Source organism: Homo sapiens, chromosome 2 (genome assembly GCF_000001405.40).
Source record: "Homo sapiens chromosome 2, GRCh38.p14 Primary Assembly".
NCBI lineage: Eukaryota > Metazoa > Chordata > Mammalia > Primates > Hominidae > Homo > Homo sapiens.
Genome location: NC_000002.12, coordinates 119640296 through 119656340, shown reverse-complemented (window position 1 = coordinate 119656340; position 16045 = coordinate 119640296). Strand labels below are relative to the sequence as shown.

Below are 16045 nucleotides of genomic sequence, written 5' to 3'. Positions count from 1 at the left end.
AAGGAAACATGAGGACACTTAATAAAACCACGCAAATCACCCCCCGCCAGCAGTGCTGGTGAAGGTCGGAGGAGCATTTCGTTTAATATACAAAGAAGGTTTTCACCACAGTTAGTGATAGTTTACTTACCAGTGAAAACACTCAGCTTATGAATGATTCAAACCTGGCTTCTGGCCTCAGCTGCATCAGTTTCTGAGCATGGGCAAGTTACCCAAGAATCCACAGCCCCTGTTTCCTGATGTGCGAATGGTGTAATTCCCATCTCCCAGCATTGTAGCAAAGGTGAAATGAGATCTTATTCACAGAGATCCTGGTGTGAGGTCTTCTAAGTGCTCAGTCAATGCTGGCTGGTTTTTCATCTTTATGAATGAGGTAGATACACACTATTTCTAACTCTGGCAATGGCTCCAGAAGAGTGAGCACCTCAGGGAGAGTTGTGCACCTGGACCAAGTAGTGGCTGAGTGGAGCCGAGGCTGATGTTGGTGTGGCGGGGGTTGCTGGGTAGAACTTTGACTGGACGTGGTGTAAAATGAGGCTATCAATTGATGGGTGCAGTGGGAGTAGACAAAGGGCGGAGAGATGGGGAGGACCTGGGCTTCTTAGGGGCCAGCTTGCCTCTTGGTGGGCTGGGGCCAAGGGTTAAGATGGAGACTCGGCTCAGAGACTGTCATGGTGCTCACCAGCATCCAGATATGTGGGAGGAAATGACGAGTGTTTTGGTTAAAAGGCCATATGTCTTGTTCAAAGACTGTGAACTCAGCTATATAATCTGCTTGGGCAATATAAATCCAATATAAAATAAAGTGCTTCTGAGACATTTTTGAAAAGAGGGTGACATGTTTGGCAAATGGCTGACAGTTTTGGAAAACCAGAAATACCTGAAAATGGAGAATTAAGATGTTCCCTAATGCACATAATTAAAGAAATTAATTGGTACCATTTTATGGAATCATGTCTAAAAATATATAGATCCTGTCTCCCCTTAGAGATACTAATGATTGAGTAATACTGTGTTGATCTAAGGAGTGCTGAAAAATGTGTCAGCAACTAAAGTCACAGTCTCACAGTTCCTTGAACATTTTGTGGGGAATGTGATTCCCCTGTGGGTCTTGAAAGGGCCAAGACCGCTGTCCAGGCAGCAGAGAATCTCTCTGGTGAATTTCAGCCATTGAGTGAGAGCAGATGATTCTTTGCATCCATGAAAATAAATGTTTGCCAGAAACCAAATAAAGAACAGTCTTCAGGGGGAAATGGGACACTGCTGATGTGTTCTTTTTGTTCCGTCCCTGTCTGTCCAGGCTCTGGGTGTCTGGCAGGGAGGACTCTGTTGGCTTCTGGCTGGAGAGAAGGAGGTGAGGAAGAGGAAAAAGTAAGAACAGAGAAGGAAAAACTGAGCACAGGATTAGGCTTGATGTGAGCTGAGGAGAGTTTCTGAACCAAATCACTTTTGAAAATGGTCTGTGGGATATCAACTTGCTGAAATACTATGCAGCCAATAAAATGATAATTATGTTGACAATTTTCGTTCACAAAAAATGTACATAAAATAATTTTACCTGCCAAAGAGGTAAATTAAAAATGTCATGGAAATGTTTATTGCAAATGTGTGAAATGTATGTATGTTTTTTGAAAAAATTAGAAGCTGACTTGGTGTGCAGAAAATGTTTATAGTTCATTGTTAGTTTGTTTTTCTGTAAAGTACTAAAAATACGTAAAAAATGATATACCACTTTGAGTGAATATGTAAAGTAATAAATTCTATTTCGTTTAATGATAATTTGATAACCAAATGCCATTCAACATTAGCTCCATGGTATGAAGAGTGAAGACTCATGTAAAAGAGCAAGTGAGTAGATAGGTATTGAATATTACCTTGCTCCTGGGGCAAGCCATTCTATGTCCAGAGGTAATATTTGAAGTAGAAAAAAAAAAAGGTTTTCATTTAAAACCCTAGGTCAGTTTTTTGAAACTTGAAGCAAAACACAAAGTGCATCTATGTGTTGAGGTGCAAGAGGTTTTATGTGCTGGGTAGCAGAACACAATATTCTATTAATTAACTAATTAATTAATTAATTAACTGATCAAAACAGATGCTTACTGGAATTCCATTTAAAATTTTGTTTCTTACATTTTCTTTTACCAGAAACTGCCAATCTGTTTTCTGAGCAGTGTTGGCTGCTGCAGGTCTCTGGAACTATCACAGACAAACCAGAGAGACCTCATACAGCTCTAAGAAATGTGAGCATTCCTTTCAGAAAAGGCAGGCCCCCCACAACAAAGTAGACGACAAACTGAGAAAATAAATTTGCAGCATATATAAGAAAGGGTAATTATCTTTAATAAATGAGGGACTCTTGCAAATAAGGAAGAAATATAGGCAAAATAGGCAAAACAAGTCCCTCATAAAAGAAGAGAAATGGTTGAAAAGCATAGATAAGTTTTTAGTATAACTTGTAAACAAAGAATTAAAATAATGAGATGGTCTTTTAAAAAGTTCTGTCTCATTGATAAAGATGAAAAAAAAAGATGACACTATTCCATGTTGTCCAGGGCATTTGAATGCAGGCAGCTCTAACCTCTACCAGTAGGAGAGATGGTAACACACTATCTGGATGGTCATTAAGCAATATATATTAAAACCTTAAAATGCGCATTGATCTAGAATTTATCCTAAGAAAACAGTCTGATAAGTTTGAAAGGAATTATAGCACAAGGATGTTTGTTGCAGAACTATTGATAACGGAAAACACTGCAAAGAGTTTACACGTTCATTGGCAGATTGTTGATTAAATAAATTATGGTACATCTACTCGGAAATATAATAATTCATATGTATATTTATAAGTATGTGCTTATGATATGTTGTTAAATAAAAGTGCAGAAGATAAAACAATATGTATAATATGATTGAATTTTGTTAAAACCATATGTATTTATATTTTATTTATTTATTTTTTTGAGATGGAGTTTTGCTCTTGTCACCCAGCTGGAGTGCAATGGCGCGATCTTGGCTCACTGAAACCTTTGCCTCCCAGGTTCAAGCGATTCTCCTGCCTCAGCCTCCCAAACACCTGGGATTATAGGCACCTGCCACCACGCCCAGCTAATTTTTGTATTTTTAGTAGAGATGGGGTTTCACCATTTTGGCCAGGCTGGTCTCTAACTGCTGACCTCAGGTGATCCACCCGCCCCAGCCTCCCAAAGCGCTGGGATTACAGGCATGAGCCACCACGCCCGGTATTTATATTTTAAACCACATATGATGGTTTCCATATATATGGAAAATATATATTTAACTATATATATTTAACCATATAATGTATATTTAAACCATATACATGGTTTAAAATATAAGTACATATATAAATACATAATATAAATATATAAATATAAATATATATCCATATTTTTGGAAGACCACACAACAAAATGTATGTTACTACCTTTGGATGGTTGTTTTTATCATATTTAAAATTTTTTATATTTTCTAATTTTTAACATAATATAAAGGCATTTTTCAAAGAAAAAGAATAAAAATAAAGTTTATACATGGAATTTCAAACTTATAAAGCATATGAACTATAGGTGGTTTACATTAAAAAGTATTCTTCAAAATTTTTGTTTTAATTTGTATTTCTTTCATTACAATGAGGAGGAACACATTTTATATGTTTATTACTGTGTTTTTGAAACCAATTTTTCAAGGGATGATGCTTGCTTGGCTAGTTAGCCCCTGATGGAGAGAAGGAGAGAACATTTACTGAGCTCTGGTTCACATCAGGCAACTGGTTAGGTGCTTCCATGGCTGGCATCTCATTTCATCCTTACATTTGCCCTGTGACAGACAGATTTTATTTTCTGCATGCTACAGATGAGGAAACTGAGGCTCAGAGTTGATAAGGACAATAACTTGGCTTGAGATTTTCTATGTACAAACGGTGCAGCTCCAGATGGTCTGGCTCCAGAGCCAGTTCTTTATACAGAATGAAACTCAATCAGCTATTAATGAGAAACAAACACATCCTGAAATTGATTGATAAGCACATGGAAAATTGATTTCAGTTTTTAAAGGCTTACTTGATAACAAGATTTCAGGGAGTGTAATTGTGCCTAAAATAAAATACACATCTAAATATATGAAGCACCAGAAATGTGTCTCTTTCAAAGACTGAGCTATTTAGACTCAGACAACATGACACTTTTGTACTTTATGCAGAACAAATTTCATCCAAGATTACCTTTTAATAAGGCATAAAAGCATCCACTTACTTCTCCTTCCTGATGTCCTTGTAGTTCAACATAGGGAATTCCACTTTGATCATTTCTGGAGTCAACATAACTTCTACATTCTGCTCACAGAGCTCACTGCAAAGTAATAAGATGTTTAGTGGGCACTGCTTTTCCTTCCCAGTGTAAAAATAGGAATGAAATATTGTGATCATTTAGGAGTTATGCAATTCTTGTGGTATTCAACTTTAGTTCCATCTACTTTTGTTGTTTACATTAAAAGAAGCATAAGGCTGATAAATTGCTGTCCACCAACAAACAATGGTAGGCATAATGGTAGTTATTTATAACCAGAGAATAAAAAGTAATTTTTAAAAATGGGGGTTACAGAATTCACATTATTTTCCAGTGCACATGGAACATTTACCAAAATTGACCATATCTTGGGCTATAAAGAAAGCCTGAAAGATTTCAAAAGACTAAAATTAGTCGGAATATGTTCTCTCTCCACAATGGAATTAGAATAGAAATCAACAGCAAAGAAGACAACTAGAAAGCCCACAATGGCTTTAAAATTAAACACTATATTGCTAAATAGTCTAGTTTTTTTTTTTTTTTCGATCTTTTTGTGGTCTGCTATCCCTTAGAGCCAGGGGTCAGTAAACTTTTTCTCTAGGGACTTAATGGGTCATATGGTCTTTGTTACAACTACACAACTTTTTTTTTTCTTGCTGTTGTAGCAAGAGAGAAATCATAGAAAAATACGTAAGTGAATGGGTGTGGTTGTGTTGCAATAATGCTTTATTTACAAATACAGGTGGTGGGCCACATTTGGTTCCGAGCTATAGTCTGCTGACCTCTGGCCTAGAGCTTTGTTGTTTGATGGTTCAGGCTGGGCCACTGCATGTTTGGGTTTCAGCTGGAGCAAAGCAGGGAGGGATGGTGTGCAGGAGACACACTCACTCTGTTCAGAGCTGACCTCAGGAATGGGCTGTATCTTGTCTGCTAACATTCCATCAGCAAACACTTAGTAAAATGGACAACTTAACTGCAAGGGAGGCTGGGAAACTTAGCCTCTAGTTTCAGTGATTCTCAGGACAACTAATTTTTTGACAGCACCCATCTCCACCACACTCAATTAGAGAAATGCTTCCAAGATCATCAAAGGGCAACAAAGGCTTCAGAAGTCTGGAATTACAAACAGGGACACTTTACTCAGCAGTGACATATGTAAAAAGAGGTGGGCATGACAATTTTCTATTAAGAAAAATACCCTTGAAATCTGCAAAAGTTGTTCTAGCCTCATTAGATTGAAAGCTAATATTTACTGAGTAGCTGCTATATGCAAATCACTATGCTGGCGCTTTGCAAACATTATCTTCCCATTAGCAGTTTCTTTGTCTCAAAGGTGGGCATAATAATAAGAGCTCATCATAAGGATTAAATGAGACTGTTTGCAAAGCACTCCCTGGCACACATTTAATGCTCAGTGAGTGTTGGTTATTATAATTACTATTCTCATCAGCATCAGCATCTCCTTTAATTCTGACAACCCTCTATGAAGTAGATACAACTATTCCCATTTCAAAGATGAGGAAACGGAGTCAAAATAGTGTGCACATCAGTGCTGAATGGAGGAGGAGTTGGGTATGTTTGTATCTGCTGAACATCTCCCCAGTGGGCCTGGCGGAAAGAAGCTGAAGCAAATATGAATCATCCCACCCTGGCTGCAGTCCTCTCAAGAAATGCTGTCATGCAGTGATTTGAGTAGATGGCAAATCAACATTCCTTTTCGGAACTGAAGTCCAAGCTCTAGAAGCTCAGGTATTGTCAAGTATCATTGCATGTGGGCAGGTCTTATTTGCCTCACATATTTAGGGTTCCACTAATTGATTACTTACTTGTAAAAATATACTTAAACTATCAATATAGTATGTGTTTATAAAAGAAAAAATAGAAACCGTAATCAACAAATACTTATTTTTGAGTATATATGGTGTGAAAGATGCTGTAGTCTCATGTGTAATAAACCATTTCCTGCAATCACAAGCAGGCTGGCAGTGATCCTAGTCTGATCATGACAGTGATAATTTGCTATCAGTGCTTGAGTTATCAGAATTTCTTTGCTTTATCACAGCTGATGGTGTAATTTAGAATGCAAAAGTTTTTATGTGTTAAGAATGAAAACATTTTTGAACAATGGAGCTAAGGAGTGCCTATCAGTAGGGTTGCTACAGGAGGCCAGGTCCTCAGATGGCCTCGGTCAACCCAGCTCTTCCCCCTCTTTCTTGCAATTCTTGGACAAGGATGTACTGAGAATGCAACATCCTAAGATAAACAACAGGGCTGTGTCCTTGTTCCTCTCAGAACAGAAAGTTCTGTAATGCTTAGGCTCAGCGATCCCTGTGACACTCAGGGAATAAAACCCAAAGTAAAGTGCTTTTGGGGTCTCTCAGCTGTGATGCAATGTGGGAGACATGCAGACGAGACTGCATCAATGCTGGGCAGCTTCACTAAGCCTTGGTGGACTGGCTCACCCTGGATCCTAGGCTTCTGTTTATTCTTGCTGCCTATCTATGAGTCATACATCTGCTTTGCCTGACTTACTGTTCTTGCGTTCTGTCTCACTAAACTAGACCTAAGAACCTTTGCAGATGTCAAAGAAACAGAAAAATATGTTGATAAATATGGACGCTCCTTGACTTACAATGAGGTTAGGTCCCATTAGACCCATCATGAGTTGTAAATATCGTGAGTTGAAAGTGCATTTTTGACTTATGATAATTTCTACTCATAATGGGCTTATCTGGATAGAACCTCATCATAAGTCGAGGAGTGTACTGGATGAGAATCACTTTCACACCACTGTAAAGCTGAAAAATCATAAGTCAAACCTATGTAAGCCAGGTACCGTCTGTAGTTTCCATAATATTTTGATAAGTGACAGGAGTTAAATACTGAGAGCTTCATTCGTGAAGTGAGAAAGCAAAGACCATGTATAGGCACAATTCATTCATGAGCTGCATCTCAAATAAAAATGAAGACATCCATCTCACCACAGAAATATACTTCAGAACACTTCCTTCACTCACTTCAAGGCAATGCAGTACCAGGTAACTGCTACCAGCGCAGGAGTCAGAACCAAATGCAGAATGATCAGGCAGGCACAGGGCTGGGCGCTTTGCCTGAACAGTGATCACAGCCCAGACCTTTCATGCCAGTACTTCACGCCAGTCTAACAGAAGCACGCAGGAGCATCTGGCTTTTGGTAAAGCAGCTAAGTTGGCCTCTTGTGTTTCCAGCTTTTCACTTGTCCCCTCCTCGTGTTTTCCCAGAACTCCCCACTGGACCAGGAGTCTTCTCATTCCCATCACCTCTCCTGCCACTGACCCTCAAGCCTGAACTCTAAAAACGCTCTGGTGATTTTATACTGAGTTATAAGTGAGACTTAAAATGTTCCCTCCCCAGAGGTAGTTTAATAGAAACAAAGCGCAAAGCTAAAGGAATGGGTCTTCAGTAACAGGAGTTCAGGAAATAGCGGGTAGGGAGGAACTCTGGGACCAAGAGTCTTCCTAATGTGCCGGAGCTCTTGTCATGCAGGGCTGGTGGCCTTCTTTGTGCTATACCCCGACTCTGTCGTCACAGATACAGCAGCAGATCCAGGTGCTCCTTTATACCCCCAAAGACATGAAAAATCAAAATTTAAAAATATCAGAAATATGTATTCATTTTCTACACTTGAGACATAACACTGGATGGAGGAAAACCTCTTGGGATATGAATACCTCTTCATCTGATGTTTTGGAAATCTAACCATGTATCTTCTCTTATGCTTATTTTCTCATAATGTTACTATTGGGTGATACAACTTCATTCTAAAGTGAGCTGTTGCTTGCCTACCAAGTGTCAGATAGCGGGCTAGGGGTTTGGAATACCAGGGTCATTAATGGTAGTATATCTAATTATCAAAACCTTACTATGTGTGAGGCACTGAACTAAACATTGGGCATGTAGTAATTCATTTGCTTTTCATAGCCACCCATGAGATGGGTCCTGGGATCATTCCATTTGAAAATGAGGACATTGGGGCACTGAGAGGTGAAGTCAGTGGCCCAAGGTGTACTGTGAGTGAGTGGCGGTGGTGGTGGTGGTGGTGTTGAACCCACAGCCTACCCCTTCATCACACTATTCTATACAACATTTCGGGTGCTCTATAATCTTCTAATGGAATCTAATTTTAATGAGAGATGAGTTTGTATACAACCTTATGCTATGTTGGTTAATTAAACTAGAAAACTTAAATGAATTTTACTTTTGCCTGGTAGAAAGTATCTGCTTTAAAACATATGGAACTTCTAATTTTCTCCCTGAAATTATGTGGTGATATAATAAGTAGCTAAGTATATTTTTAAAAAAGAGGAAGTAATGACTCAGATCTAGAGGCATTTGCAAATGGGGCAATGCCAGGTGAGCCAGCTGGACGTACACGTGTGAGCTGGACGTACGAATGCTGTATGCTGTGGTGCTCATGATGGAGAAGCTGCCCTGGGACAAGGGCACAGGCTTTGCTTGGCTCAGGTTTCCCATTCTCAGCTCTGCTGCTGTGTCTGTAGCCATCAATTGTAAATGAGCATACGGATAGGAGATTCAAAACCATTTCACTGGCTGTTGCGTGCTGATCAGTAAAATCAAATGTAAGTGCCTTACTTCTGGACTTGTATTTCTTTATGCCCATCCAAGTCCTACCTATCTTTCACATACTAACCCAAGTCCATGTGACCACTGAAGCCTTCCAAGGCCATTTGGCACCACCTCAGATCTCTCCCTTGAGCTCCTGGAAGAGCTAAAGATCAGGAAGCCATAGAGCTTAGAGACTGTCGATTCTCCACCACGAATTTAACATCTTATCTAGGTGATGGTATGGATGGGTGTTAGCCTTATCTTCTCATTTGAGTTGCAAGCTCAGGAACTGTGTGCTATTCTGAAGTTCCTCACAGCACCTCACATATTTTTGGAAAACAGACCACATTAGAGGCCAAAGATTAAAAAAAAAAAAAATACCGTTCTACTGTTTCTAGTCTGTCCTCTTCTGGTAAGGCATCAAGGATGGCAGGGACGTCTATCGGAAGCATAAATGAATTGAAGGAATCGCAGCTGTGGAAAAACCACACAAGCAGTCAAAGATAGAGTCACACTAGAAGTCTTGGGGTCTTTACATAATTTTCTAAAGAATTTTTATTTTACTGCTGGCGAGGCCTCTACTACTCTGTCCTCCCTCACTCTTGAAAAGCCATTTATGGTTCCCAGAGGCAAAGGCAGGGGATGCAATAGGCCCCAGGCAAACCTGGGAGAATGTTGCCAAGTAAGACACTTCCTGGAGTTTAAAAAGAGAATCATAGAATTTTTCAGTTTGTAGTGTTTAAAATTGTATTATCTCCTGGGGTGAGTGTAGTTAGATACTGATATGGTTTGGTCCTGTCCCCACCAAATCTCAGGTTGAATAGTAATCCCCAGTGTTGGAGGTGGAGCCTGGTGGGAGGTGATTGGATCGCGGGGGTGGAGTTCTCAGGAATGGGTTAGCACCATCTCCTTGGTGCTGTTCTCATGATGGTGAGTGAGTGAGTTATCTTGAGATCTGGTTGTTTAAAAGTGTGTGGCACCTCCTCGTCACTCTTCCTCCTGCTCTGGCCATGTGAGGTGCTGGCTTCCCCTTTGCCTTCCGCCATGATTGTAAGTCTCCAGAGGCCTCCGCAGAAGCCAAGCAGAAGCTGTCCTGCTTCCTGTACAGCTTATGGAACTATGAGCCAATTAAACCTCTTTTCTTTATAAATTACTCAGTTTCAGGCATTTGTTTATAGCAATGAGAGAACAGGCTAATACAGGTAGTTTACTTTTGGTCCTAGTATTTTCCCTCCACCTTTATACTCCTTCTTAGACATTCTATTCCATTTCATATCTTCCTCCCCACCTCCTTGTGTATTGTTTAGTATTATAACTTTAGAGCTTTATATAAAAATTCCTGGCTATTGAGAATGTTAAAGGAATTGAGATAGGGTGGAAAATACATTGTTATTTTTAAACTTGGCAACAGCTCTTTGTTTCAAGTGGATGGAATGAGCACTTTTTTGGGGTCTCGACTCCTTCCATACACACATTTCAGATGATATAGAAGGAATAAAAACCGAACACACAACAGCAAAGAGAACAACAGAAAAGAAATCAATGGATAAAAGTTTTCAATCATTTTCTGGAATAAATTTCTAGAACCCTAGAGAATGCTGTCTCATGAAAAACAGCGAAGAATGACAGAGCCTGGAGCCCACTCGGAAGGAAACAGACCTCCTCACAGATGCTGGAAAGGCTGAGGCTGAAGGTAGGGCAGGAGGCAGCAATGGAAAGCAGGGATTAATTGATGGCTCCTTTGTGTGTGCACATATGTCTTTGTGATAAGATTCTTATCTTTGTTTTGTTATTGTGCAAAAATGCACCCCCTTGTCAAGTATGAAGACTGGCTGAAAAAAAAATTATAGCACCATGGTTTTGACTAATGGGAAGAGAATGAGGAAAGCATCTGTGAGCTGATATAGAATGACTTTCTGGAGATAGTAAGTGAAAAAAACAAATGCAGAAAAGCATATCTAGAATGCCACTTTTTGTATAAGACAGAAGGGAAAAAAAGAAAAATGTATATATTCTGCTTACCATTATAAAGAGAAACACAGGAAGGATACATTAGAAGACCAAGCTGGCTACCTGCCAGGGGCTGGAGGGAGGTGGGAGGGACACTTCCCTGAATATGCCTTTAATGTAGTTTTGAGTTTGGAAAACGTTAATGTTCAAAATATTGAAAAAATAAAATTAAATCAATAAGAAAGTGAAATAAAAAACAAAGGCTGAAAGCAAACTGAAACAAATCATAATACTTCACAGAAATTCCATAAACACACTGGAAGGAAAGAAAGACAGAGAGAGAGAGAGAGACAGACAGAGACAGAGAGAGAGAGAGAGCTAAAGGAATGAGAAAAGAAAGAGAAAAGAAAAAGAAATTACCCAAGTAACTTACTACAAGTTATTTGACTACATACCCAAAGACTTGGGTGGGAGGGGGTGGGGGGGGGGACCTGGAAACCAATCTGAACTTATTTTGCATGTTTATTAAGGTGGTTATGGATCAAGCAATTCTGAAATGATTTTTGATGTATTATAAGATTGAGTAAGTAAATGTATTAGAAGCCAGGTTTCTCACAGTGGAAGAAGGGAGATACAAATATGGAATGGTGGAAAGCAAGCAATAACTCTATGGATATGGACTGGAACTGTAGGCATTGGTGTGAATTCATGCTTTCTAAAATATGGATATGTATATGTGTGTTTATATGCACATACATTACATATATATGTATGTTGCATATATCTTTGTGTGTACATTGTGTGTGTGTGTTTGTGTGTATCCCTGACTTTGTCTGCTGAATAGGCCAAGAAGCAAACCCTGCCCCACCCCAGAAGCAATGTGTATACATAGCACCCAGATTTTGGTCTTTAATCCCATTTCCCACCAAAACAAACCTGGGCCCGGAGACATAGAGCTTATCCTTGTTAGTAACTGACTTCATGATAAAGAATCCAGGTTATATTAGAAAATTCTACCAAAACTTTACTTTAGAACATGTATAGTCAGAGGGAATTCCCACTAAGAAGAGTGACTGAGAAGTTCAGGGTCTGGGCCGCTCGCCAGGGACCAGGCTGGTCTAGCACAATGGAATGGCAGCAACCAAGAGCTTTTCATGAAGCAAAACTTACCCAGTTTTTAAATTCTGAGACCAGTTCCTCTCACTTTTTTTGTGTGTGTTAAATATATTCATTTAAAATTGAAATAGTGATGACAGTAGATGGTGGTTGGGCATTTTTAAAATTTGTTTTGCTTTTATTTATTTTTTAAATTTTTGTTTATTTTCTTTTGAGATGGAGTCTTGTTTCACTGCCCAGGCGGGAGTGCAGTGGCATAATATTGGTTCACTGCAAGCTCTGCCTCCCGGGTTGAAGCGATTCTCCTGCTTCAGCCTCCTGAATACCTGGGATTACAGGTGCCCGCCACCATACCTAACTAATTTTTGTATTTTTAGTAGAGACGAGGTTTCACCATGTTGTCCAGGCTGGTCTTGAACTCCTGACCTCAAGTGATCCTCCTGCCTTGGCCTCCCAAAGTGCTGGGATTATAGGCATAAACCAATGTTTCTGGCTGTTGCTTTGTTTAATTTTAATGTCCTGGCCAGTCACGGTGGCTCACGCCTGTAATCCCAGCACTTTGGGAGGCTGAGGTGGGCGGATTGCTTGAGGTCAGGAGTTCGAGACCAACCTGGCCAACATAGTGAAACCCTGTCTCTACTAAAAATACAAAAAGTTAGCCAGGTGTGGTGGCCCACGCCTGTAGTCCTAGCTACTCAGGAGGCTGAGGCAGAGAATCGCTTGAACCTGGGAGGCGGAGGTTGCAGTGAGCTGAGATCGTGCCACTGCACTCCAGCCTGGGTGACAGAGTGAGACTCCATCTAAAAAATCATATATATATTTAATGTCCTTACTTGACAAAGTAAAACCCTGACAATGCCAAGACAGTTCCCAAAGTTCTTCTGGACATTTCACTCATCTATGAAATCAGAAAGTCTGGGAACTATTGGGTTAGATAATTTCTTCAGTTGTCACTGACTCTCTGATTTTATGGAAGTCCAAAGAGATTTAACAAGTTATCTCTGAATTTACTGAAGAGTAAAGAAATAAATGAGCTGCTTCGATTATTACGAATACAAAAATGACTTGGAATAAATAAACACTAACTATATTGCATGGTTTAACAACAAACAGTTGTCAGGGGCAAAAGATACAAGGCAAACCTCGTAAGTAATAGGAGCTAATTTATTCAAGCAAAATGGCTGCAAAGTTGGAATATCATTAATGGATTTATAGGAAGTTGCTATGGACTGAATTTTGTGTTCTCCCCAAATTCACGTTGAAACATAACTCCCAGGCCAGGTGCAGTGGCTCACACCTGTAATCCCAACACTTTGGGAGGCCGAGGTGGGAGGATCACTTGAGGCCAGGAGTTTGAGATCAGCCCGGGCAACATAGCAAGACCCTATCCCTATTTACATTAAAAATAACAAGAACTTAACCCCCAATGTGATGGTATTTGGAGATGGAGCCTTTGGGAGGTGGGTTAGGTCATAGGGGTGGAGCCCTCATGAATAGGATTAGTGCCTATCAAAGAGGCCTGAGAAGCTGGGTGCAGTGGCTCCACTTCTGTAATCCCAGCACTTTGGGAGGCTGAGGTGGGAGGATTGCTTGAGGCCAGGAGTTCAACACCAGCCTGGGCAATGTAGCAAAACCATATCTCTACAATAAATAAATAAAATTGGCTGAGCATGATGATGCACACCTATAATCCCAGCTACTTGGGAGGTTGAGGAAGGATAATCAGTTGAGCCCAGGAGTTTGAAGCTGCAGTGAGCTATGATTATGCCACTGCACTCCAGCGTGGAAGATAGTGATATCTCATCTAAAAAAAAAAAAAAAAAAAAAAAAAAGGCCTGAGAGCTCCCTTCCCCTTTCTGCCATGTTTGGACACAGTGAGAAGACAACCATGTAGGAACCAGGAAGCTGGCCCTCACCAGACACCAAGTCTACTGGCACCTTGATCTCGGACTTCCCAGTCTCCAGAACTGAGAAATAAATTTCAGTTGTTCATAAATTACATCTATGGTATTTTATTATAGCTGCCCAAACGAACTAAGACAGAACTTAAAAAAGGAATTACACTTCTTATTTTGTACCTGTTTTCAGAAATAAAAACATGACCTAGAGTCTTACATCCCGTGGAAATCCATGCTAAGAAGATAGATACAGAATCCTCCCTTGATTTTATGAGCTGTTATGCAACTGCAGTTTATTTAGAAACAAACTGGCCCAACAAGAGCACTCAGGCACATAAGCTGAAAGTAACAACTCATGGTTCGAGAGTTTTCTTTAATTCATGGAGAGTTCATGTTTAATTCATGGTTATTCAAGCCCAAGGTAACTGCATTCTCACTGCTTGTTGAAAGAACAGCCTCGGGAGATTTTTTTCCAAGGACATTGCTTTGGAAAGAAAATAGGATGCTTTTTCTTGATTCTCAAGAACGGTACACGCTGACAACGGGTGGACATGGTCAGCGGGTCGCCACTTCTCACCATTCCTCATTTTTCTTATTCAGTGTGCTGACAGCACCCCAGACCCGGTTTACTGACTGCATAGGTCAGTTCTGAAGCATCCTCACCCCGCAGCAAAATGAGGCAGTCTGTCAATGTGGTGACGGACTATCGCCATCTGGTGGCGATGGAGTGACTGCGCCGCTTAGTGGGCGGGGAAGGAGGGTAGAAGTGAGAGAAGAGTTACTAAGCATGCACCAGGCATGATGCTAGATGCTTCACAAGATCATTGCACTTTTATCCTCACACACACACAAATGTGAGGATGCCATCACTGCCTCTCCCTCAGAGAGGAGGAGATTATTGCTCGAAGGGCTTCATTAGTACGTAGCTCGCCCAAGGACTGAACTGGTGATACATCCAGTGTACAATGGAGGCAGGTCTCTCCCATGCCAAAGCTTTCCTTCTCTCTTCCATGCCATTGTTCCCGCCAGTTCTGGAGATTTGACATTCTAGAAATATGCTAAAAATGTAGAACAAGGATGCTGGTTTTCAGATGGCAATAGGGTGGTTGAGGAAAGGATGAAGTATAATAATTGGAAAGAAGCATATTTTTGAGCTCTTGCCATGTCCCAAATCCTATGCTGGGTGCTTTTTGTTTACCGCATGCTAATCTTCAGGCAAAGGAGAGGAGTAGAGAAGCCCTAAGGAAGTGACCCCAAGGGGACGGCACATGGGAAAGCCTTGACGTAGATGACGTACAGCTGCATTTGGCTTAGTTCAGGAAGAGCTTACCAATGAAGCCCTTCAATGAAGATGATGAAGGAGGAAGTCAAATTCAGTGTTCTGGGGTCACAACCCAGATTCCAACTATCTCCTCAAATACCTGGGGAGGTGTGGGTGGATGTGGGTGGATGGGACGGCTGCACTTGTACACTACAAGTTGGGTGAGCTCTTGTACTCTTACTAAAATTAAAACATCAACGCTGAGAATGGCCTTTGCAACAAGTCCAATCCCCTTGTCTTACTGACAAGAGGACTGGGCCCAGAGAGTTGGCCAAGGGGCATGGCTGAGGTCACATGACTCCTGGAGGTCATGTAGCCTCCCTGGTGAGTTTCTGAGTCAGAGGATCCAGGTTACCCGAGTGGGAGCTGGGGTGTGTGTAAAGATCACCTACTGATCTTGGTTGGTGGCAGAGCTCAGGTTTCTTGGCCACTCTTGGAGCCATGCCAGGGCTCTGCCACCTTGGGGTGGGCCTCATTCTGGATCAGAGGATTGGAACTTTGTTTGACAGCTGATGATAATCATTTTGGGACACCAGTCACATCTGTTCACCAATCACTCACTTAGCTGTATTTATAAGGATAGTGAACTGAAGAAGCGAATTCAAGGGCTCAGGAGTCAGCGATTGGCCAGGCAGAGTCTAATGAAAAGGCACCAGGCTACTTCTTTGATATCTTATGGTTTTGAAGAGCTATTAAATAAGCAAATTAGCAAAAATGTAGTCACTCTAAGTTTCTTCTTTCATCATCCAACAATATTCTGATCTACCCATTGTGTATCTGGAGCAGGGCTGTTTTCTGTGTGGGGATTGCCATGGTCTCACAGTGAATGCCAGCCTGTGGCACAAGAGGGC

General features: G+C 40.7%; 1 protein-coding gene across 9 annotated transcripts in view, besides 1 other annotated feature; it reads right to left on the bottom strand.

The window, feature by feature from the left end:
- The window catches only part of CFAP221 (cilia and flagella associated protein 221), a 115875-nt gene that overhangs the window by 3983 nt on the left and 95847 nt on the right, over positions 1-16045 (bottom strand). For 3 of the 9 annotated variants that reach the window (XM_017003551.2, XM_017003552.2, XM_017003553.3), the window contains exons 22-24: positions 9291-9383; positions 4272-4367; positions 58-1340 (exon numbers count right to left, since the gene is read on the bottom strand). In XM_017003551.2, coding sequence (XP_016859040.1) covers positions 1064-1340; positions 4272-4367; positions 9291-9383 — 466 coding nt within the window. In that variant the 3' untranslated portion in view covers positions 58-1063. Of the gene's footprint in view, positions 1-46; positions 1341-4271; positions 4368-9290; positions 9384-16045 lie in introns of those variants that run through there. The other 6 variants (NR_073132.2, XM_006712353.4, NM_001271049.2 and 3 more) reach the window with 4 other exon arrangements.
- Positions 6702-6902: a silencer, noted in NCBI's record as "peak3833 fragment used in MPRA reporter construct". NCBI's record gives its function as "represses an SCP1 promoter by STARR-seq MPRAs in K562 erythroleukemia cells {active_cell/tissue: K562}" and the evidence as "EXISTENCE:reporter gene assay evidence [ECO:0000049][PMID:32103011]".